This window comes from Homo sapiens, chromosome 18, assembly GCF_000001405.40.
Source record: "Homo sapiens chromosome 18, GRCh38.p14 Primary Assembly".
Taxonomy (NCBI): domain Eukaryota; kingdom Metazoa; phylum Chordata; class Mammalia; order Primates; family Hominidae; genus Homo; species Homo sapiens.
This window is the reverse complement of record NC_000018.10, coordinates 63,699,275-63,724,616: the sequence shown is the minus strand read 5'-3', so window position 1 is coordinate 63,724,616 and position 25,342 is coordinate 63,699,275. Positions and strand designations below refer to the sequence as shown.

Here is a 25,342-nt window from a genome sequence, read left to right as displayed (position 1 = left end):
TCTTCTAAGATGGGGCTAGGGAAGGTAGAAGTGGGGGACTCCTGCTCTACTCAGACTTCTGAGGAAGTTCCAGGAGAAAATATTCACAAAGAAGGCACTGAGAAGGCAGTAAATGTTTAATAGCCACTCTTATCTGATTACTGCTCCATGTTATCCTGAGTATAAAAGGAGGCTTCCTTTAAAACAAAAATCTTCTGATTGACTTATGCCTTTTTCTGTTTTGAACCTTTACTTGCTGAAGAATAAGATGGGTAGGAGAAGGAGGGAGAGAAGGAGGAGCAGAAGGATGAGGAGGATTGGGGAGAAGAGGAAGAAGAAAAAGAAGAGGAAGAAGAAGAGGACAGAGGAGGAGGAGGAGGAAGGGGAGAAGAAGAAGGAGGAGGAGAAGAAGAAGAAGAAGAGGAAGAGGGAGGAGGAGGAAGAGGAGGAGAAGAGGAAGAAGAAGAAGAGGAGGAGGAGGAAGAGAAGGAAGTAGAAGAAGGGGGAGGAGGAGGAAGAGGAGGAGAAGGGGAAGAAGAAGAAGAAGAGGAGGAGGAGGAAGAGAAGGAAGAAGGAAGGGGAGAAGGAGGAGGAGAAAATATTATTCAATTGAGTAGTATAATTCAATTCAATTCAAGCAATTAGCCAAAAATTCCACTGAAATATTGACTGAATTCAATTTATCCACATTCAAAGTATCCTTTTATAAGCCATTTGATTGCTGCCATGTTACAAGTCTTCACAGAGCTTTAAGGTATTTCATGCATTTATTATTCTCAACAGAGAATTTTGAACTAAAACTCACCACATTCTATTTACATATGCAAGGAAAATATTTAAAAATCCAAGCAAAGTTGAAGCCCTTCAGCTGGTTTTCTTTAAGCAGAGATGTCAGGTCACTTATTCAAGATCTCACAGATACATACAAGTCAAGAAAATCTAATCCCTTAAAATTTTACTCATTGACTTGATCATGTCACTGGACAGCACTCAAATGAGACACCACAGATAAGAAAGCCAGAAAGGCTTTCTGCATAAATCTACCTTTTTCCATGATTAACAAAGCCTTAGCTTCACAACTCATGAAATGGTTGGAAGAAATCCTAGACCTATTTTGCAGATGAGCAAACTGAGGCACAGAGGTGTGTGAGGTGTGAACAGCTTTTTGGCCGTGGGAAAGTCACAGGATTGTCTCTGCACCTCATCTGCAACTCTGAGCCTTGCTCAACCCCATCTGATTAGGGAGAGGCAAGCTTGCCACAGAATAGGATCGTGTTGGTATGAGTGTGCCTTATAAAGAAAAGGAAGGGGTGGTTCGCCTTGAACTGAGCTCTCATTGGTAGGCTTTTTACAGCGATGCTGTCCCCAGTGGCTGCTGCTGCCTCCGTGCCCTCTTCGCTGACATCCAGGTATGACTTGTGGATGGCTTTTGATAAATATAGGCCCTTGGTTGGTGACATTCCAGAAAGATCAGCTTTGACCTGGTTGAAGAGATCTGTCACCCCTAGAGATTTTAACAGGGAATTTAGCTCATACTTAGTTTCAAGTTTGAATCGGGGGAGGTGTACTTCAACTTCTCTTTCCATCATGTTAGAAGAGCTTGTCCACTCATGAAACGTCCCCGAATTCAGCTGCTTTTCTATCTAAGAGACAAAACACAGACAAGCCCACATGAGTCAAACACACGACCTCTACATTAAATATCATATGTTTTTATAATTCTCAGTGTGAGTGGTTCAACTTCATCACTTTTTCTACCTTTAATACAGTCTACTTACCTGGGAACAAAATCATACCATTAGCCACATTTTCCCTTTTCTGTTGTCTGTTTCTCATCTAAATTTCATAATTAAGCTTCTCAAGTAGGTATCCTACAGTCTTTTCCCTCAATTCCCTCAGCATACATGCTTCACTGCACTTCTCCCACTCTCGCCTGTGAAGTTGTCATGGTCCTGTTTCGTGGATGGACTCAACCATTTCTTCTGGGTTCTCATATCTGAAACATTTCATGATACCCTCCTTTATGAGCGTGATTCTTGTTTGGCATCCCTGATGCCAGGATCCCCATGCACTCTGATAGCTTTCATCCTCTCGTGCCCTTCTCTGTCACTGTTTCTGGTAGCTGCTCCTGAAGCTGAACTCTGGGCCACCTGTGCCTCTGCCCAGCATGTCAGCTCCCACATCAATGCTCAGCTTTCCCAAAGCAGCCTCAGCACACTGACTTCTCATTCTCCATCCAGTTTCATCATTTGTTTGTAAACCTTTCAAACGCCTCCCTCGGGCATTGAACTCTCCAGCCAGCCCTGTCCACAGCTGCAAACCACCATGCTGTGTCACATCCCATCTTTTTAATCTGAGAATTTAAAACAGTTTTGACAACTACTGCCTACCATGACAATATAAAAGCCACCAAAAAGCAAAGGTGGTTTTTCTTCCAAAGTATCTTTTCCTTTTGTCATTTTCTGCCCACATCCAAGAGACTATGACTTCATGCCACAGCTCATGCTGCCTTGCTTCTAAGGCATTTGCACTGCTCTTTGCTCTGCTCAGTTTAGCAGGGCCCCTGTGATTCTCCTATTCATCCAGCAAGGCTCGGACTGAAATTGCTGTACTAGGAATTCCTTTCTGACCCATTCATTCTAATCCCATAGTCTACTTCCAGAAAACTTTCTGCAGAATCTAAACTGCTCCCAAACTGCATTATGCCTCCAAATGTCTTTCACTCCAGTCAACCACAGGCCCTTAGGGACCTGATTCCCTCTGACTTAACCACAACCGTAAGCATACCTGTTATGGCCACCGCTGCACTTCTGTGACTACAGCTCCTTTTCAGTTGGCACCCGTCTCACTTCTTAATCCAAATGCGTACGTCCTGACCCTGCTCTTTCAAGAAGCCTTCCCTACCACCCGACACACACACACTTTGCTCACCTGTGCCACAGTGTTCCTTCCCTACCACCCAACACACACACACACCTTGCTCACCTGTGCCACAGTGTTTTCATCTCAAGCCAGCACTCCCTGGCTTAGAAGCCCCTAACTGTTAGGCTATATCACCCATATGTGTGTCAGCTTCTGCAGGCTTCCAGACGTCCAGCTGTTAGAAGCACAGCCTGCTCTATGCTGGGCAGCTTTGGCTGCAGCTGGGGAAAGGGGGTTGGATCCAAACTCCTTTCACGGCCATGACCACTTCTTAATGTGTGTGGTGCCCATTTCTCCACAAAACTGAGATGTTAAAAATGGTTAGCCTGTGAAAGTACAATTGGCTCAGAAATACTGCCCCCAGAGTAAAATGGCTTAATCAGATTTCTGCACACTAGGAGCCCAAATAGCATTATAACTTCATTACTATAGAAAGATGTCCCCCGACTATCAACCAACCAGTACTTGTGTGTATTTGTACAAAATATCACTTCTGCTTCCATGTGCCTTTCTCATGTAAGAATAGCTTGTTCTCCATAAACACACTGTCCTGAAAGGCAGAGGCCATGTGTCTCCCTGCTACTTTCACACCCCCGGGACAATCCTACTAAGGCTTAGATTGTGAATCAATGACTACGCTAATGTCATGAGATACACAGTGTGTCTGTGTGTGTGTGTGTTAACATGCACACATGCTTTAACTGCATTATAGCATTCTTATAATTTTACCTGTTTCAGATTAGCTATGCCTACTGGAAGCAGAATAATCATGCTTAATTTGTTGTTAACGTAGGGCAGCTCAAGAACTTGCATCTGCGGCTCCTTTACAAAGGCCAGTTTAAATGTTCCAATTTGATACATCATTTCCACAGTTACATTTTTACCCTGTTAAGAAGAAAAAGATTATAGTATACTTACATATGTGAGTGCACATGTGTGTGTACTGATTACCTTGCATAACACGGATATCTGCATGAACACTCTAAAGGCATGGGTAAAATAGAAACTACAAAGTAGATTCCTTATTACTTCCCTTTGCAAAGGTTATCCATTTTTTTAATTTAAAATAAGTCATGGTTAGAGACTGAATTGTTCTAATAATATATAGAGATAGCTTGGTCTACCAAAAACAAAGTCAGGATTTTTAGCTAACATGATTTTAGTGGGAAGAAAAAGGATATATCATTAAATCATTTTCTTTTTAATCTTTCCTCAAGAAACTCTCTAGAAAAAAAAATAACACAGATAGCCTTAGTGTGCTGCTGGAGAACATAACCACAGTATATATGGAAAGAATAAGCCAAGAGAGCATTAAGAAAAGAATGGGTTTTCTCCTCTGCCAGAGAATCTTAGTATCCCAAGTCTCCAGTTAGGTGCTCTGTGATAAAAGTTATTGTCACTTAATAAAGGAAAAATGAAAATCTGTAGAAAATACAATAAAAAGAACCAACAGAAACCTAGACCAATATTTTCACTAAATCACTACATCTTTCTAAATTGTCCTTAAATGATTATTGTATCCTCCAACATTTGTCATGAGTCTGAAAATAAAATACTTACCTCACTTAGCTGAAAAGGACTTTTAACTGTCTCTCTTACTTGAAATTTATTTTGCCATTGTCCTTTGAAATATATGGCATTCACCAGGACCATTACAGATGAAGGGTCAATTGTGCTCTTTCCAAAGAGATTTGCGACTTTTCCTTGTATAAAAAATAAGATAATTATATTTGGATTTGAACTCCTGATAATAGAGAGGTGAAGAGTCATGAGAAATTTAGAGCCATTTCTTTTTTAAGACTAATTGTAAATTTGAGATACCAGAAGAACTCCTTTCATCTCCTGGCCATGGAGCCTTCTTTGTCAAATGAAGTTTATTTCAGGGAATATTTAATGCTTTATTATTTAATCATAAGACGGCACCCAGGAAGTAGCCAGCATATTCGTGATGGATCAATTTGTCTTATGCCTAGTTACATCGAGTAATTTCTTATACATCACTGCTTATTTAGATATTATGTAATCATTTCTTGTGGCTTACTTTTAATATTTACAAGACTTTATACTTACCAGCAGTTCACTACACACAAATATATTATTTTAAAATATTTATTCTTTCAATGCACTAGAATTAGTGTATTACAAATATATATACTAAAGCACTTGAAGTAAACACATATCTGAAAATCAAGATTCATAAAATTATGCCAGGAATTGCTTTGTAAATAAAACTGATCAAAATTAAACATCCAGCCCTCTTGGTGCATTTTGGTACATTGCAATTTATAAAACCTTTTTGGAATGGAATCTGTTATACAATATGAAACATAGGAATATCTGAACATCAGCTTTAAGCTTCATGAAGGTTTTAATTTTCATTGAAATTCTAGGCCTAACACAATCCTAGCATGTGATAGCAATACCTAACCTTAAGCATACAATGTATATTTTTGGATGAAACAGTAAATAAAGATATAAACAAAAGATGAAATAACATTAATATTCTACATAAATATATAACATGTGGATCCCTAATGCACACCCATGACAGACAACACTAATCATCTTTTCATTCGTGCCAAAAAATTTTAGGCATTTTCTAAATGCTGGGCACTGTTCTAGGCACTGTAGCACTAAATTCAGACTATAACACAAAACTAAACAGACAAAAATCTCTACTGTCACAGAGTTAGTGTCTACTGGCTCAATTGTGGGCTTTTTCAAGTAACCTAAGTTTAAGCCTCAGACTCTCAATACAGATTTCCCAAGCAGTCACTACCAGTGGATTAGAGTTAGCACAAGAGAGAGGCATATTTTTACACCACTGTGCTAAGTAAATTAACAGATATGAAAAAAAAATACACCTTTCAAAGCATTTTCTGACTTAATACAAATAATATAATGGATATATATTTTAATCTGGTCACCTATTACTAAACTTGACATCTGTCAGTTCCTCAATCAAAAAGATACTATTGAGAGCTCATCACTGTTAAGTGATATAATGGGAGAAAAATATATTAGAAAGCATTGTCCTTATGCTAAAAGAAATCTAAAATAATATAAAGCTAAACTAGAATTATTAAGTGAATTCAGCAATGTTAATATACAAAAGTAAAGTATATACTTATACATCAACAACAAATAAACCAAAATAATAGATACCAGCTAAAATTCACCAAACACCTCAAATACCACCTAGGATCAGTTTATCAAAAAATGTACAAAACTTCAACATAGGAAAATACAAAATGTTATCAAAAGAAAAAATTAAGGAAGACCTGTATAGAGGTAAATTTCATGGTCATGGATTAGAATTTGAATAAAGATGTATTTTCTCTCCAAATCTATAGATTCTATATAAATCCTATTAACATTTCAACTGATATATTCTATGGAAGTTAACAAGCTAATTTTAAAACGTATATGGAAATACAAAGGATCAAGATTTGGCAAGGCAACCCTAGAAGAGATCAACATTGGAGGGATTACACTTCCAGCTTCCAAGAGTTATTATAAAGCTACTATAATTGTGGCATCATCATGAGAATAAACAAATTGACGAATGAAAGAGAATGGAAAACCTAGGAGCAGATTCACACACATATGGTCATCTAATTTATGATAAAATTTACATTGCAGTGCAATAATGAAAGGATTCTTTGTTCAATAAGTAGTGCCATAGCAATTAGACATCCACATGGAATGAAACTAATTTTAAAATGAATCCTGACTTTAATAAAACAATAAAACTTCTAGAAAATAACATACGAAAATATTTTCACAAACTAGAAAATACTTTCACGACAAGATTTCTTTAAAATCGTCCAAAAAATGTGTGCAAAGACACTAACTATAAAGGAAAAGATCATAAATTTTATTCCTTTGAAATTAGAAACTTCCATTCATCTAAGACACCACTAAGAGATGGGAAAGATAAGATGCAAAATAGTAGAAGTTACTTGCAACGTAGGTATCCAGTATGTGCAAAGAACTCCTAAAAATTTATCAGAAAAAAAAACAGACAAACCATTCTTACAGGTGGGCAAAAGATTTAAACAGAAACTTCACAAAGGAGGATATGCAGCATATGAAAAATTGTTCAACCATATAATTCATGAAGGAAATGCAAATTAAAATTAAAATAACTACAGTGGCTAAAGTTAACAAGCCTTACACTACCAAGTGTTGGCAAGGAGGAGGGACAAATGAAATTCTCATTTCTTGTTTGGGCAAATAAATTGACACAACCACTTAAGAAAATTGCTTGGCATCTACTACAATTGAATGTATATATGCCTTATGACTAGCAATTCCATTCCAAGGTATACACCCAATAAAAGTGCATACATATGTGTACCAGGGATATGTATCAAAAATATTCACAGCAGCACTATTTATAAGAGATCCAAACTAAAAATGTCCTAAGTATTTACTAACAGTAAAATGGATAAGTATATTTGGAATATTCTGAGAATGAAATGTATATTAATAAAAATGAACAAACCATGCAATGTGTAACTACATGGATGACTCTCACAAATTATTGACCTAAAAAAAACCCACATAACTTATGATTCCAATTACATGAGATTTAAAAACAGGCAGAACTAATAAGTGGTAACAGAAGTCAGAGAAGCCTTAACATTTGGGAAAAAAGGGGCTTATTTCCAGAAGAGGATTTAAGGGGGACCTTGCAGTGCCTCTTTCTAACAACTAATGTCTTATTTTGCTGACCTGAGTCATGAGTATATTCACTTTGTGATAATTTATCAAATAGCACACATACAATAATTTACTTTTCTATATGTATGTATATTTAAATCATAAAGTTTATTTTTAAAATCAAGATTTAAGGGATGTATTAACTAATTGTGATATGTCAATGTTATTTGGTTCCTGATTCAAACAAAAAAAAAAGAGCCAACTGGGGAAAAATGAAAACACACTGAATATTTAACATTAAAGGATTATTTTTAATTTTTCAGAAGTAATGAATTGTAGCGGTTGTATTAAAATTGTCCATATTTTTAGAAAAACAAAGTGAAATATGTGAAGGAAAATGATAGAATATCTAGAATTTGCTGCAATATAATCTTAAAGAAGTGTTGGAGAAAGGGTGAGAGATTACATGAATAAAGCCAGCCATTAGTGAGAAATGTTGCAATTGAGTGATGGATAAATAGGGTTCATTATATATTCTCTTTACCTTTGTATATCCTTAAATTTTTCCTTAACCAAATGTTTCTAAGAAACATTTAAGAAATGTTTAGCAATATATATGGGTTTTTAATTGTGAAAAGTAAATTTAAATTTAATTAATTTTAATTGCAGAATGTGCCACACATTTATGAAACAGAAATGGTGTTCATTCGCAGAGTCACTTTGTATAGCTTCTAGAACAACTGATTGTAAGGGGTATTCCAAAATATGGCCCCATTCCTTTCTTGCTGATCTGCCTATGTCAGGTGCAGACTTCAGCCAGCTTCCTCTTTAGCAAGTGGACTCAGGTTGCTTATCAACACAACACAGAGTTTAGAGACACATATTGACTTATCCTTACCATTAGTTTTATTTTCAACCCAAGCATTAATCGTTTTCCTCGTTTCTTCTGTAGACTGTTCAAAATCCACAGTTTGCAACCTGGCTTGATACCATTTCTCAGAACAGCTTAAATATTGCTATGAAAGACATGATAATTGAACAACAATTCAAAAGCAGTGTAAGGAAAACAAAAATCTACAGCTCAATGTATTCTAAAATTCTAATGCAGAGAAAAAAGCAGTTCCCATAAACAAGTCTGAGAGGAAACAGGATCCATATGTACTTATTTTTAATAAAACAAATAAATTTAACAAAATCTGAAACCCTTCCAAAAGGAATGTTCAGAAATGTTTTGTTGTTACTTCTGTCATATGATTGGCTTTCTTAGTTTTAAAGTGTTCAAAGCAAAATGACAAATTGCAATACATGAGCACCTTCTGACTCTATTCCTACTCTTTCCTCTTCAAAGTAGACATGGAAGTTACTGCTCTCAGATTATAGACAGGAAAACTGAGAAGCAGAGTGGTTAAGTGACTTGCTTTTCTGAGGTCTAACAGAAGGTTGCTCCCATGATATATATCAATCTCCTCACAAGCTGCCATAAATATAATTAATAATAAAAACATTCTGTGATGTAGATAGTTGGCATTTCTGTCAAATTTATGTAAAGTGTGAACAAAAATATCTTAAGAATTTATTATTTCGTTCACCTATAACATATTATCTAAGTGAAAGTGGTGTGCAAACTCAGTATAAAGAACTTACCCTTTCTTTTAACCAAAAATTTTTACTCCGGAGGCCCTCCTGTGTAGCATTCTGGAGCAACAATTTATGACCACCCATGGCCCTAGATTTCTATAGAACTGGAGACTTTCCGTTGTCTTTCTGCCAAGACAACAGTGATATCTACATGGACCCAAATGAGTTTACCATGATGCAATTCCTGAGACCTAAGGAGCATACCTCCACAGCCCAGTGGGACTCAATGCCCCAACATGAACTGAATAGAACAATACAAGACTTTGAAATATGGAAGATGTGCCTAGCGTAGAAGAAAAACAAAGCTTAACTAATGTTGGGGGAAGTCAGGGACCCCGAACGGAGGGACTGACCTGCTGAAGCCGTGACAGAAGAACATAAATTGTGAAGAATTCATGGGCATTTATTAGTTCCTCAAATTAATACTTTTATAATTTCTTACACCTGTCTTTATTGCAATCTCTGAACATAAATTGTGAAGATTTCATGGACATTTATCACTTCCCTAATCAATACTCTTGTGATTTTCTATGCCTGTCTTCTTTAATCTCTTAATCCCATCATCTTCGTAAGCTGAGGATGTATATCACCTCAGGACCCTGTGATGATTGCGTTAACTGCACAAATTGTTCGTAAAGCATGTGTGTTTAAACAATATGAAATCTGGGCAACTTGAAAAAAGAACAGGATAACAGCGATGTTCAGGGAACTAGGGAGATAACCATTAGATCTGGCTGCCTGAGAGCCAGGCAGAACAGAGCCATATTTCTCTTTTCAAAAACAAATAGGAGAAATATCGTTGAATTCTTTTTCTCAGCAAGGAACAGCCCTGAGAAAGAGAATGCGTTCCTAGGGGGAGGTCTCTGAAATGGCTGCTCTGGGAATGCCTGTCTTATACAGTTGTAGATAAGGGATGAAATAAGCCCCGGTCTCCCGTAGCACTCCCAGGCCTATCAGGACGAGGAAATTCCTGACTAGTAAATTTTAGTCAGACCGGTTGTCTGCTCTCAAACCCTGCCTCCTGATAAGATATTATCAATGACAATGCATGCCCGAAACTTCATTAGCAATTTTAATTTTGCCCCGATGCTCTGCCCCCATTTGCCTTGTGATATTTTATTGCCTTGTGAAGCATGTGATCTCTGTGACCCACACCCTATTCGTACACTCCCTCCCCTTTGAAAATCACTAATAAAAAATTGCTGGTTTTGCGGCTTGGGGGGCTTCATGGAACCTGCCGACATGTGATGTCTCTCCCGGGCACCCAGCTTTAAAATTTCTCTCTGTTGTACTCTTTCCCTTTATTTCTCAGACCAGCCGACACATAGGGAAAACAGAAAAGAACCTACATTGAATTATCAGGGCGGGTTCCCCCAATATACTATGAGCAAAATCTGGGCCTCAGAATGAATCTTGTCCTGAGCTGGATCCAATTGTGGTTGAAACAACCTTAAGTAACTCTCCATAGCCCAGGAGATGGACTTTTTCCCAGCCAGAATCCTGAAATAACAAGGTCCCTCTCATGACATAGTTCAAGACAATCTTCATGATGCTAATGAGGACCTTCTCACTTCTGGAACAGATGTCATCATGATCATCCCAAATCCACATTTGTCTACTGTTATATCTGGGTCACTGTTTTGAGAAGGCAAAGTCAAGAGAGCGGGCATACCAGCTCAAAGGACCGTGATTGTTAATCCCTGCCACTCTAGACACTCTCCATACATCGTTCCCTATATGCTTCCAGGGCAGTAAAAGAAAATACTCTCTGAATGTCTATAATACCTACCCCAAGTTGCAAATATTCTGACTATCAGAAGCTCATCACATAGGTTATCCAAGACATAACCTGATCTACCAGGCCAGGGAAGAACATTAGAAACTCATGTTTTCATCCAGCTTCACCCAGATAGCATTTAAATAACCCTGGTCAAACAAAAGCTTGCATTTCACCTCAATCACAAGATGATGTAGCAATTAAAACCAGGAAGACAGATTTGCATAGGGGTTAAATCCAGGTTTTGCCATTTAAATATGTCTGTGACCCTTATCAGCCTGACTTTTCAGAATCTGCTTCACAGTCTGTAGAATTAATGGAAATTTTATACCAATATCTTAGCACAGTGTGAGGATTATAGGAGATAATGCTTGTAATGAGCTAAGCAGAATGACTGGCACAGAGTAAATACTCAATAAAACTACATAGGACCATGGTGTTGGGAAAGGGCATAAATGGTGTTAGAATATTGGAGCTACAAAGAACTAAGCCTAATCCTCTCATTTTAAAGACAGAAGTGACTTGCCCAAAGTTATATATTCTAAATGGAAACAGAACTCCTGTCTCTTGGCTCACAGTCCAATGTAATTTCAACTACTTCTTGATACTCCACTATTAAGAACCTCTGAAAAAGATATGAAAAATTGATTTTGTTTTTCTTCTGGTCCACAGGGATGATTCTTACCTACTTTGTTTTGTGCTTCATCCCTGACCTTGGTTCTTAGACAGCATTAGGGATCTTGAAGAAGTCATTTTTATGTGATATTTGGGAACTTTACATGAGAGTTTCAATAAATCCATTTCACTGAAACTGTAAGTTAGCACAAAGTCAATCTCTTAATGATAAATGTCATGTGACTCTTCTCACTCTTCATCAATTTTGGGGTATGAAATTCAGAGGACGCCAAGAAAGTTGTTGATCACTCTTCCAAATGGACTTACCTGATGAAATGCCATCGTCTTTGTCCCGTAGAGCCTGTTGGCAATGCTGAGGGTACAGTTAGAGTCTGGCTGGTTGATTTGAGAGAATTCGACACCAAACTCGGAATGAATTCTTCCAGCTTGGCTGCACTGAAGCATCAGTAAACAAAGAATGATGTATTAAATTGCTTGATTTTTGCCATTGGAGAATGATAACTATCTAGAGAGCAAGGTGTTTGCCTCTGAATAAAAGGGCTGTGAATACAAGGAAATTAGTTTAAAGCATTTTCTTCCTTGGATTTTTGCTAGCACATTAATTTCACCACTCTGTAACTTTAGTTGCAGTCTGTGTGCAGAATTGTAAGTTACTGCATAATACATGTGTACTTGTTGGTCCTAATGATTTAATTCAAAGGCAGTTTTCATAAATAAAGAGATCCTAGTGGGGTATTCAGGGCAATAATTCCAGTGTTATTGCTGCCTTTGTACTTACAGAATCGTTTCTCTTTTCTTTCACACTTTTTTCTACATCTCCATTTTTCATGTGGTCATTTAATCAAATACCTCAGCCCTTCACTGAACTGACTTCACACACTAATTTGCTTCTCAGTGGTAGCAATTCTGCTAAGCTGCAGCTTTGTTGCATTTGAAAGATGGCTAAGAATTTATGGACATTATAGGCAATATTCCTATATTCCCTAAAGCATTCCCTAAAGCAAATGGTTCCTAAACTATGGACTTTGAACTTTTAGTAGTAAGTTGGGTTCCGTGAAGCTGGTATTCTGTGAGTCTATATGCATTTATGTATTTTCTCAACCAATCGTAATCAAACAGAACTATTTTCATGTAGGAGTTCTATATAATTTTGATGTCAAAATGAATCCTTCTACTGGAAAAAACTAGAGACCATAGTCCCAGAGCATGTGGATTGGGCAATATTAGGCCATGTTTTCCCAGTACATAATTATATGCCAAGCATCAGGGTCCTTTCTCAGTCCCCACTCTAGACAGAAAAGTCTAACACCACATAGACAAAACTGGCAAACTCAACACAGGGCACCGTCCATAAAGGAACAAAAAAGTTTGAGTAAAGATGGCAATAAAGCAGGTAATAAAATCTAAGAAACTTTACTATTGTTATTATTATCATTATTATATTAAACTCTACAGGCTGTAGTTATCATCAGGAAGGTTAAAGGGGGACACATAGCTGGTTCCCTCATGGGCAAAAGAAGGAGCTTTTCTACTCAACACCCAGACTATTATTTCATCCTTCTCTTAGGTTAAAGAGCATTTGACAACTCAGTAATATTATCATACCTTAGGTGAGTCCTTGAACCCTGGTTTTAATGAGTCTACAGTATGACTAAAATGAAGCACCTAGAAAAGAAAAAAAAGGGATCTTTTGGCATCAGAAGCAATGTACAGTCTATAAAGGTTGACAGTTGTAAGTATCTATTTTTCTATTTTAGATCAAGATCAGTAGTGATAGCTAACATTTAATAATGTGTTCCAAGTCCTGAACTAAGTCTTTACATATCTTATTTAACCTTCCCAACAACTTTATGAGTAGATACTATTACCCTCATTTTATGTTAGGGAAACTATAAGTTTAAGAGAGATCAAGCAGCTTGCCTCAGACCATTGTCAGGTTCCAGGGACTAATCTCTTATCCCCTGGACACTTCTGTCCCTACTGTGCTTAGGCTGTTAACTAAGACAGTACCCATCTGGGGCTGTGTAAGACCTTACATGGTTTCCCAGCACGAACAATAATAAGATTTGCAAGTATCCTAAGAGTTGTTAAGTGATATTCTTCTAGACTTTCCACTGCAATTAAAATATACGTAATGGGAAAATCTCTAACGTTAGCCTATATAACCTGAAAAGTCACCTTTCCTTTCTGAGTCTCAGTTTTCAATCCATAAAGTGTGGATAACAATTCCTAACTGTTATGAAGTTCAAACATAATCATGAAAATTTTTTAACTTGGTAATGTCTAAAATAGCATTATGTTTATTATAAATTTAACCTTCTAGAGGACAATAATAGTACCTTTATCACATTTAAATCACTGAATGAAGGGACTCTAAAAGTAAACTGCAGAGATTTATTTGTGATACCACTGATAGTAAAAAAGAGACCACACGTTGCTTGTATTACATTGTTTGCATTACAGCATACTCCATTAATCAAACCATTATCAATTTTTAAGAAATATGATTTATTCAATGTGTTTTTTCTCTCTCAAGATGGCAATTTTATTGGTATAAAGATAGAATTAATTTTGCTGACCCAGAGCGGGAGCATGAAAGACTTCTGGGTTCTGAACAAACCTCTGAGGAATTCCATACCTTCTCCAATTGCTCTTCAGTCTCTCCCCTGGCACCAAGGAGGACCATGCTTAGAGCATAAAGCAGACTCAGCGAAGAAAAGAAGATGTTATCTCCTATGTTGTTACTGTTCAGCTCTTTGAACACATCAAGGCAAAATTCAACGTTAGCTGTGCTGAGAGAACCCATTTTTATGCCGACTGCCTGAGAACAGAAGGGAAAAAATTCTCAGAACATCACTTGAAGTTACAGATAGTATCTGGAGTTCAGTTATTGTATTTCATGAGTTTAAGTATCAGGGCACACTGCTTCATGAAAAACTACATACCCTTATCACAATTTCTGAGAAATGAGTAAATGCTAGACAGGGGAATTCACATTAGTTTTACATTCCAATGAACAGAAGATTTACTATTCCTTCAGCCAATGGTTAAAATCTATCTTACTATCATTTGTGTATATTTTTAAATAATCTATAATAGTTCTGGAGCAAAAGATTAAAAGGAATTGAATCTTTGTATTCTGAATTTCCATGCTTTAAGACATTCCTCATCCTGGAATTTGTGCAGAAAAAAATCTTGAGCTACACACGATCAGCCAGTCGAGATATTTTCCCACTAGACTACCCGCTTTTGCAGTGTCACAGGAGAACATCTCCATCTCAGTCATTTTTGCACAAACAAGTTGACAGCACTCGCAAAATTTCCAGCACATTTTTTATTTTTATTTTACTTTTTATTTTATTTTATTTTATTTTATTTTATTTATTTTTGAGACAGAATCTCGCTCTGTCGCCCAGACTGGAGTGCAGTGGTGCGATCTCAGCTCACTGCAAGCTCCGCCTCCTGGGTTCATGCCATTCTCCTGCCTCAGCCTCCCGAGTAGCTGGGACTACAGGCGCCTGCCACCACGCCCGGCTAACTTTTGTATTTTTTGGTAGAGACGGGGTTTCACCGTGTTAGCCAGGATGGTCTCGACCTCCTGACCTCGTGATCCACCCACCTCGGCCTCCCAAAGTGCTGGGATTACAGGCGTGAGCCACCATGCCCGCACTTCCAGCACATTTTTATCTCCTCAGTGGGACCTCATTCCCTGTATCCCTCCATGAAATAAGACAATACTAACAAGTAGGACCTGCCATAAGAAAGTGGTCAGAGATCTCAGCCTGGAGGCCACAGCCATCATGTTTATGAAAATAGAAATGGAAAAGGAAAATCCAAGAGAAGAAAAGATGATGCTGGAATATGTGTTATCTTAGGACAAGAATATGTCAGGAAAGAAGAGTTCATTCTATTCAGTTCCACAAACATTGTTTGAGCACCGCTAACTGTAGAGGGCTATGGATATAAAAACAATCAAGAATAGTTTCTGATCTCAGGGAGACGTCATTCTTCAGGAGCCTCATTGCCATCAAACACTTCCTTCCTTTAACTTCTGAGTCATCATTCTCTCTCAGTTCACGGCCTGCCTCCTTGACTGCTCCTTCTCAGTCTCTTCTGCAGAATCGTTCTCAATTCTCAACCTCTAGACATCACAATAAAACAGAATTCAGATCTTGAGCCTCTTCTCTATGAACAGTCATACCCTGGGTGATCTCATCCAACCTCATTCCTCCAATGTCACCAATATGCTATTAGCTCCCACATTTATGCTGACCTTGAATTCCAAACCCACATATCCAACTGCTTACTCAACATCCCCACTTGGATGTCTAATATATATCTCAAACTTAACATGTCCAAAAGCAAATGCTTGATTTTCTAACCCCTCTCTCCAGCCTGTGTCCCTCACAGCCTTCTTTACCTCTGTAAATGGCAATTCCATTCTTCTATTCTTTCTCAAGCTAAAAACCTTGTGATCATCCTTAAGTACTTTCTCGTTCTTATTCTTATTCTCACTCTTAGTCAATCAATGAAAAAATCCTGTTTTCCCCATCTTTGGAAATATTCCCCATCTGCACATTTCTCATGCTCCCCAGTTTTAACAGCATGAACGGTGCTCCTGAATTACTGAAATAATCTCCTATCTTCTTTCTACTCCAGTCTTTATCCTCCTCCATAATATCTTTGATAGACTAGTATTTTTTAAATATCAGTTGGTTAGGTACTCCTCTGCTCAAAAACTCCACTGTCTTCCCTTTTACTCAGAGAAGAAGACAAAGTCCTTACTGTGACCAGCAAGACCCTCTGTGATCTGGCCCTGGCCACCTGTCAGACCTAATCTCCTACCACTCTCCCCCAAGCTCACTCCAATTTAGCCATGTAACCTCCTTGCATACCTTCAACATAACAAGTACATTCAACCTCAGGGCATTTGCACTTTCTATTCCTCTTCCATGAAGTTCTTCCTGGAGATATTTGAATGGCTCATTCCAGCAGTTTAATCATCTCTGTTCCGATAGCATCTCATTACTAAGGCTCTCCCTGACCATTAATTCTGTTTGAAATCTCAGCCCACATCCCTCCATTCCATTACCATAGCACATACCACCACCTGGCTTACTACATATGTATTTATTATCTGATTCCCTTCCCTGTATAGTACATTACACCAAGGTCTTTGTTTTGTTTTTATGTTTTATTCCAGCATCTAGACAAGCTCTATCCATAGAGTAGTGACCCAGTACATGTTTGCAGAAGGAAGAAATGAAGAAGAGAATTTCAATCCAATAAGTACTGTGTGATATGCTGGTATGCACATAATCAAGTAGAGAGGAGAGACACAGAACCAAACTGAGAATTATAGTTAGCCTTCCTGGAGGAGATAATATCCCTGCTGCTTCTAGAAGAATGAAATAAGCATCACCTAGGTATATACATGTAAGAAGAGCACTCCTATCAGAAGGAATAGCATGAGCAGAGACTCAAACACCTGAAAGATAAATTTTATATTACAAATGCATGAAATAAGAGTCCAAAAGTGGTGGGCAGTGGGATTGAAGATGGGCAGGACTGTGGCCTTAGAAGCCTTGCATGCCCCTTGATGAGAAATCAGAGATCACACCCCACATAGCTCATGATGGAGTTGGGTCTTCATGTCACCTAGTCAGAAGTTCATATCATCTTTCTGATAATCAATTTCTAAATCTCTCTCCTTCTCTTCTTCTCTCTCCCCAGACAGCATGTTAAAAAATGTTGGTTGCCCACCATTCAGCCCTTCCCTTTCACTCCCTTGTTTTGGGCTAAGAGAACTTGCTTTAATGCAGATTTCATGGAGTCATGTGCTTCAGAGGAGGCTTCACCCTTCTCAGGCCCCAAGAGCAAGCCTGGATTAGTCTAAGCCAATTGAGGAAATTCTATGTCCCAAGTTTCTAGTGTAGGAGTCAGAAAGTGTCATAATTCTTACGAGAAAGACAGGAGAGGTTGCTGGAAGGCTTCTAGAAAAGGCTTCTAATAAGAAGAGATCCACAAGAGGAAACCAGCCCTCTTCTTCCTCTAACACTTGGGTTATCTGCATGTGTCTACTACTGCAGCTGCTATTTTGTGTCCGTGAGGTAGCTAGTCTAAGAGGATAACCCAGGATTTCAGAGAAGAAGGACAGGCAGAACTTGCGTCCTCGATAACACACCATTGAGTGAATTGATTACCCAATCCTGGATCTGCCCTAGCTTGAGATTTCTTTTCATGAGAAATAATAATTTTTGCTTATTGTTTAAGCCATTTTAGTTGAGTCTTCTGTTACTTGCAGCTAAAAGAATTCTAACTCACTTCAAGGGTTTTTCTATACACCCTTGTTCACTAGGGCCAGTTAGCCCACTTACTCCACATTCACCTTTCTGTAGCATAGTTACATTATTCCCTTGTTTAGTCCACCTGGAATACAGAAATATTTGATTCTTTTACCTCCTATCTTCTAGATTACAGCTTTGCCCTCTTTTAGAATCCAAGTCTAAGCATATAGGCTATAGGACACTGTGACAAAGGCCAATACATACCCCTGCCAATACATATTTATCCTAGTTACTAATGTATCTTATTTCCAGTCAGTACGTATCTGAGCTGAGCTTTCTGGAGATGTGTTCACTGGGATATGTCCTTGTTTGTCATCAATTTAGGCATTTATGTCATGCTTTTAATCTTTTATCAGGCAGAGACAGACCAAAAGGGAATATATGTCACTTGTGGACTTTCAAAATAATGACCCATGACATTTATATAGGAAAATTCACAAATCCTGTAATCAAAACCAGTTGCCCTAAAATAATCATTAAGGAGTAGATGCTGTGCATTCCAGTTCTCAGAAAGCCCAGCACAGTGTAATAGGACCCAGTAGTTATACAGCACCAAGCCTGGACCACAGTTTTCTTTGCTCTTGACAGTTTTTAAAAAATATAACAGAAGGGTTTTACTCATCTTATTTTGCTAAAATACAATTCTGTACCTTTGACAGGATGTTTTCCTTTAAGGTGATTTTAATACAGCTCTCTGTATTATGTGTGGTAATAACAGTGTCTTTGACAGCCCTTTGTTTAGTTACTTTAATAATGAAAGCACTTCCAATCGTGAAGTATATCCAAGTCAGTTGCTCTTCACACTATGTTCTGCATTTTAGTGAATTAAGTAAGCTAGTGGAGTTGCATTCTGGAAAGTAACGTGAATTTATTTATCTTAAATTTATGTCCTGTTGTTGTTATAAAATCGCCTATTCACATATCATAACTATTGTAGCCCTGCAGTTACTAGAGCACCTAAGAAAAGAGTTTGGAATACACTGATAGGCCACTTATTGTGTGCCAGACACTTTTATTAGTCTGTTTATTTGATTGTTTCTTCTTTTATAACCACAAGTACACAAGGTTGAGGTCATCACATGCTCTGGTTCTTGGCATAAGCCATGACTGGATTAGAAGGCCATTCTCTTCTTTACTTATGGCCTTTGACCCAGTTCATTTCCTTTCTTCTCCACCACCATAGACACCACTTATAATTTGTTTAAAGCATATTCTTTTATGTATATGTGCTCCTGTAAAACATTGATTTCTTTATCTTACGCATTTTTAAATTTTCATAAATGAAGTTATGTTAGATAATACTTAACATCAGCTTTGGGAGGCGGAGGCAGGTGGATCCCTTGAGCCCAGGAGTTTGAAGCCAGCCTGGGCAACGTGGCGAAAACCCCGTCTCTACAAAAAAATTAAAAACATAGCCAGTCACAGTGGCACACACTTGCAGTCTCAGCTACTCAGGAGGCTAAGGTGGGAGGATTGCTTCAGCCCAGGAGGTCAAGGCTGCTGTGAGCAGTGACTGCACCACTGTACTCCAGGCTGGGAGACAGAGTAAGACCCTGTCTCAAAACAAAACAAAGAAAAACAAAAAAATACAAGTTTTCACATACTTTTCACCTAGTACTATATTTTTAAGATTCATCCATGTTATTCTGGGAATATAGTCCGTACCTTCTAACTGTTGCATTCTTCTGCTTCCACCATATTAATTTGCCCATTCATTTGCCGATGGCAGATGCCCAAATGGTTTCCTTCCTCATGCCACCACAAACAGTGCCATGATGAATATCAGCACACCTACTCCCTTACACAGCTGTGTGAGAATTTCTTTGTAAAGGAAATGGCCAACTTACAGGGTTCATGTATGTGCCAGTACTATATGTGTATTATTCAGAATCTTGAGTCTTGCAGGGTGAGTGATGATGTTCGCCTCACTTCACAGTTGGATCTTACAGCTCTTCAAGCATTGAACTCATAGTACCAAGAAAGAATACTTCAGGTTCAGGTTTTTCTCAAAAATCATTGGCAATACATAATTATAGTTAATTCAAATGAACTTTGTATTAATGATAGTTTGAATTAGAATAATTCAAATTCTAATCAATAATATTAAAACTCTGTCTTGCCAATAGACATGCTAAATATCAAATGAACTTTGTTTCTTGGCAAGACAGAGTTTTAACTATAGTATTAATGTAGTGCCAAAGTGCACGGGCTTTCCTCATTCATTTTCCAAAATTCTACCTTTCTGTTTGCAGAGATCTTTCACAATGGAGTTTCTATGTTAACCATATATTTAACTAGTTTTATTGACAATTCCCTCTACATCTGGGTGATTGTCTTTTCATGTGCAGAGGTGTGTATGGATGGATTTATAGATTTTGGTTCATTTAATATGTTGGTATTCCTCACTACATTGAACATTCTGTAAGGGCAGAGAAAATTCTTCTGTGAAATTGTCAGTGTCTTCCACATTCACCCAGGAATCAATACTTGTTAGGGAAACCAATATTCTGGATATTTTACAGCTAGTCTAATTAATGTTGCTTAGCCCATTTCAGGGAAGCAGAACTTATGGAAGGCAGAAGTCCCAAGTCACCCAGAATTTTATCAAAGATGCATATGGACCCCCAAAACAGCCCACTCACGTGGTAAGGGAATGTTGGCTGTGTCTTGGAAAAAAAAAATCTTCAAGCAAATGAGTTGTGTCATCTGGAAGTTGTTATGACAGAAACGAAGAAAAGAAGGATATCTGTCACTGTAGCCCTTTGAGGTTGAGAAGAGGGATTTCCAGAAGAGACAACTCTATTTGGGATACGTGTGGAAGGGAACACATCTTATCTTATCTGAAGGGATACTGACACTGAAGGACTGCAACAGACGGAGGGTCTGGTTCTGTCCTTTTGGGGGAAATACATCTCCAAGGGTGGCTAAGACACCAGTATCTTACAGTATGTACCATACCCTGTGTACATTCTTCCCCTTTCACAAGACTCTTCTCTCATGACCACTTATCTAGCACCTACCTCTCTTTCCCTAAATCAGAGCTATTCTTTTACTCTTACTCTCTGCCCTACAACTTTGTGAATTTCACATATGCTCATTCCTAAAAATAGTAGGAATTTCAGAATGTTCACATAAACATAAACCATTATATTTTACCTGCATGTACAGAATACACATATTACTTAGGAGACTAATTTTAAAGCTATAAGAGGAAACTGAGAGGCAGAAAAAGAAAGAAATTGTCTCCAACACATAGCAATTAATAAGGCTAGCATAGTAAGTTAAGATCTTCTAAGGAGCTAAGAAGTGTGTCAATACACAGAGGCCACAGCATGCATGACTAGCTTGTGTTTTGAATGAAGATTAGTAAGTAGAAAATATCAACGGAGTTCCATTTTACTAAACAAAGATCTGAAATCAAGTCAGCCTGCCTCAAAGATTTTTAAATGCACACTATCAATGGCATCCAAGTATGCTAATGTATTTATCAAGGGGTCAGCAAAAGTCATACTCAATTAAATAATAAGTTGCCCCTTCATTTGGTTCATTATGCAACCTGTCCAAATGCCACAGTTTACTCTTATTTATTGTCCCCTTTGACAACAAGCACAGCTGAGATAATAACGTACAGAAACATTTCTCTTACCTTTGTTGCTTTCCAGTAGTGAAGTTCACAGAGTGGCAAGTTAGACTGGAGCTGCGTCCCTCAAAAGGAAATATAAAGCCTTCATATTTTGCCCCTCCCTTTTCATTTGTGCCCTTAGTGATTCAGCTCTTCACCTGCTGGTTGGAAAGTACAGCCCTGAAAATGAAGTCCATCAAGAGCTTCTTTAAATCCCCAGAGCCCAGCATGGTGGCTCATTCCTGTAATCCCAGCACTTTGGAAGGCTGAGGTGGGAGGGTTACTTGAGGCTAGGAGTTTGAGGCCAGCCTGGGCAACATAGTGAGACCCTGATCTCTATTTTAAAAATTAAAAAATAAAAATAAAATTTGTAATGAGATCCCCAGAGACTCCCAAGATGACCAGTGCTTTTCAGAGAAGTGCTCAGTTCTTTTTCTATTTATTTATTTTGAGATGGAGTCTCACAGGCTGGAGTGCAGTGGTGTGATCTCAGCTCACTGCAACCTCTGCCTCCTGGGTTTAAGCAGTTCTCCTGCCTCAGCCTCCTGAGTAGCTGGGATTATAGGTGTGCACCACCACACCCAGCTAATTTTTGTATTTTTAGTGGAGACAGGGTTTCATCATGTTGGTCAGGCTGGTCTCAAACTCCTGACCTCGTGATCCACCTGCCTCAGCCTCCTAAAGTGCTGGGATTACAGGCGTGAACGACCATGCCCGGCCCTGCACCCAGTTCTTAACCTCCTTCTGTTTTACTAAGGGAAAACATTAACAAGCCTGGCCTCTATTCAAGAAAAATACGCTGTCTGTCAAAGAGATTGCCATCAACCCAACAAGTTAGCAGTGCCCTATGCAAAATTCCAGGGATCTCCAGTGTCAGTGCACATGGTGCAAAGCTACTCAGTAGGAAAGATCCCAGCTGTGGCAGATGCTTCCTGGCCTGAGGAACACTCATCCCAAGATCTTCTGGGCTCTCTTGCATGCAGCATATGTTTTTATGTGGAGTTTCAGCAAACTACTAGCAGGTAAATCCTGTCCCACAAAAAAACACAAGAGTTATCGAGTTAGTAATAACTCAAGCAAGAGTTATTCTGTGGTTTCAGTTTAAAAGCTTGGTGGGAGCAAGAAGCCAGCCCTACCTAAAGTGAATTCAGAGGCTGAGTAATGATTCAGGAGCCAGGAAGAAAAATTACAGATTAGAGGTAGGAATGAGAGTTAGAGACAGATCATGTTTGGGGTGTGCAGTAGGCAGAATCAGTATTACGAGAAAAGCCCAGCTTCTCAAAGACCAGTCTTGACCATGCAATCCACAGTCCAGCCTCCCCAGGTTGTTACCCCTGCCAACCAATGATGGCAGACTGTACCGCACTCAAGACAAGAAATTCCTTTATGGCCAGTGATTTTCTCTTCATTTTCAGTGCACAATATTTCTTCTCTTAGTTGAAACTAAACCGTTCTACAAGACAAGAGAACCAGAAAACATGGTTCTAAAATTATAGTCCTAATACCCATTTTGCCCACAAGGTTATCATAAAAATAACTGTACACAACCAATCACACAGAACTAAAAGGGATCCCAAATCTGTCCAGTCTTTTTCTGCTCAGAGCACATGTTTTCTGACATGAATCAATTCCAGCTGGGGGCTTTCAGAGCTTAAAAACCTCATATCTACCATTAGGGCTGATCTTCTACCTTTCGACTTTGTTTTCATCTCTCTTTAGATTCCATAAAAAGGGGGTTGAATTTCTTAGCTTTTTTTTTTTCTGTCTAAGCATTGGGGTCATCAAAGAAGGTATTTTTATGCCTTTGATCTAGATTGTACTCCTGTTATTTTCCCTGTCGCAGAGGAAGTACTTATTTCTGATTTTTCCTTCCAGTTGGAAGGACATCCATTAGCATAACACTCTTTGCCTCTCTTTACCCTCAAATTTACTCCTGCTCCCCAATGTCTTAGCCTGGATTCCCTGAAAGCAGAGCCCTAGATAAAGGCTCACATGCATGTAGTTTATTTAGGAAGTGGTGTCAGGGAATAAAAGCAGAAGAGAAAGAGGGGTGGAACAGAGATGGAAAGAAAGTTAATACAATTCTTACAAAATTGGCCACTGGTATCTGAATCCATGGACTTTCGGAGGAATCTTACAAAATGTGCATCAGAGCTGTCCACCGAGAGGAAGAAGAGGGGAAGCATGTATCTACAGGCTTGTATCCCCATAGGTCAAGGAAGGTCCCATGGGTGTTAACTCGGATCACACTTGAGTGTCAATTATGCACATTCACACCAAAGCATCATCACAAAGCCCTGGAACTGGAAGCAAGGTGTGAGAGGAAGTGCTGCCAGTTTGCAATGCACAAAGTTATTTAAAGCCTATGCAGAACTGGTGGCCTCAGCAGCAGCTAGATTAAGAGGTAGGGCAGCAGAATATGAAGTGACTAACAAAAGGCGTCTAACACATCTAACCTATGTTGGTGGGTTTGGAGAGGAAATGCCCTCAAGTTTTGTTTTGTTTTGTTTTGTTTTGTTTTGTTTTGTTTTGTTTTCACAGGTTGCCAAGCGTCCAAAGGAAGTATGGATTCTCATCTATTCCTTCTGCCCTAAGTTTTCCCAGGGCTAAGCCCAATTTTGAAACTCCAGTAATCCCTGTGACTAGATTGTACACCAAAGAATTAGAAAACCTATTATTGGCTCATGCCTAATCCCCAGCCTCCAACCTATCATTATGTAATGTATATTTTTATTCTCTATCTGTCTGATTTATTTGACTTTATATTCATTTTTTCAGGACTCAGGTGAGGTGAGGGGAGTTATTTATTAGGGACTTCATAACCTAGGACAGTGATCATGGGCTGGAGAGCAGAGGATGGACTAAATACTGCCCCCAGCCACCCGCCTTGTCTTGGGTAGGACACTTACATCACCTGTAACTGATGGCCCTTGTCACAAGTTAGAGGAGGAGGAGGATTTCAAGGAAGAACTTGGAGGCAATCTGGGGGAATAAGTAATCTTAGCAGAAGTTGCTTTAGTAGAGTACTGAGGGAAAAATCTAGGCTGCAGTGCATCATAGAACACGCTAGAGAAGAACACACCCTTTCCCAGAGTTTGGCAGTAAAGTCGTGACATAGGTGATGTTAGAGGAAGCCAAGTTGAAGAACCCTGTTAAGCATGACTTTACCCTACTCTGACAGGGAAAAGCAATGGACAATGTGTATTGACAATGTGACTCCTTCCGCTGCCCTCTCAGAGGAAGGAGATCACAAGAGCTGAAGATCCAAGACCACCTCTGTGGTTTCGTTAGTGATATGGTTTGGGTCTGTGTCCCCACCAAAATCTCCTCTCGAATTGTAATCCCCATAATCCCCATGTGTTGAGGAAGAGACCAGGTGGGAGGTGATTGGATCATGGGGATGGTTTCCCCTGTGCTGTTCTCACGATAGTGAGTGAGTTCTCATGAGATCTGATGGTTTTATAAGGGGCCCTTCCTGCTTCGCTCTCTCTCTCTCTCTCTCTCTCTCTCTCTAATCTGCCTCCATGTAAGATGTTCCTACTTCTCCTTCTGCCATGATTGTGTTTCCTGAGGTCTCCCCAACCATGTGGAACTATGACTCAACTAAATGTCTTTCCTTTATAAATTACCAAGTCTCAGGTAGTATTCTTTATGGCAATGTGAAAATGAACTAATACAATTAGGGGTGATGGGTAAAGGGAAGGTGTGGGTACAAAAGGGAAAAGAAAAAAAATTACTGTAGAATCAAGATATTCT

At 38.7% G+C, this 25,342-nt stretch overlaps 1 protein-coding gene across 4 annotated transcripts; it reads right to left on the bottom strand.

Annotated features, from left to right (window-relative positions):
- Positions 1-723: 723 nt before the first annotated feature.
- Positions 724-22,313, bottom strand: SERPINB11 (serpin family B member 11). 4 transcript variants are annotated; one of them, NM_080475.5, is made up of 9 exons: positions 22,240-22,313; positions 21,611-21,766; positions 14,256-14,438; positions 13,223-13,282; positions 11,924-12,052; positions 8,465-8,582; positions 4,462-4,604; positions 3,631-3,786; positions 724-1,622 (listed from the first exon to the last, which is right to left on the bottom strand). In NM_080475.5, the coding sequence occupies exons 3-9, from the start codon at positions 14,421-14,423 to the stop codon at positions 1,218-1,220; spliced, it is 1,179 nt and encodes a 392-aa protein (NP_536723.2). In that variant the 5' UTR covers positions 14,424-14,438; positions 21,611-21,766; positions 22,240-22,313; the 3' UTR covers positions 724-1,217. The 4 variants fall into 4 exon arrangements, with proteins under 4 accessions (NP_536723.2, NP_001357404.1, NP_001278208.1 ...); NM_001370475.1 differs by lacking the exon at positions 22,240-22,313 and having other exon boundaries at positions 21,611-21,657; NM_001291279.2 differs by lacking the exons at positions 8,465-8,582; positions 22,240-22,313 and having other exon boundaries at positions 21,611-21,657.
- Positions 22,314-25,342: the final 3,029 nt, after the last annotated feature.

Bases quoted from the DNA above. Each gene is read 5' to 3' on its own strand.
- SERPINB11 (NM_080475.5), bottom strand. From the start codon at position 14,423: ATGGGTTCTCTCAGCACAGCTAACGTTGAATTTTGCCTTGATGTGTTC. The intron at 13,283-14,255 runs GTATGGAATTCC...TTTCTTTTCTAG, and splicing joins CTGAAGAGCAATTGGAGAAG to GTGCTTCATTTTAGTCATAC. The intron at 8,583-11,923 runs GTAAGTCCATTT...TGTCTTTCATAG, and splicing joins AGACGATGGCATTTCATCAG to CAATATTTAAGCTGTTCTGA.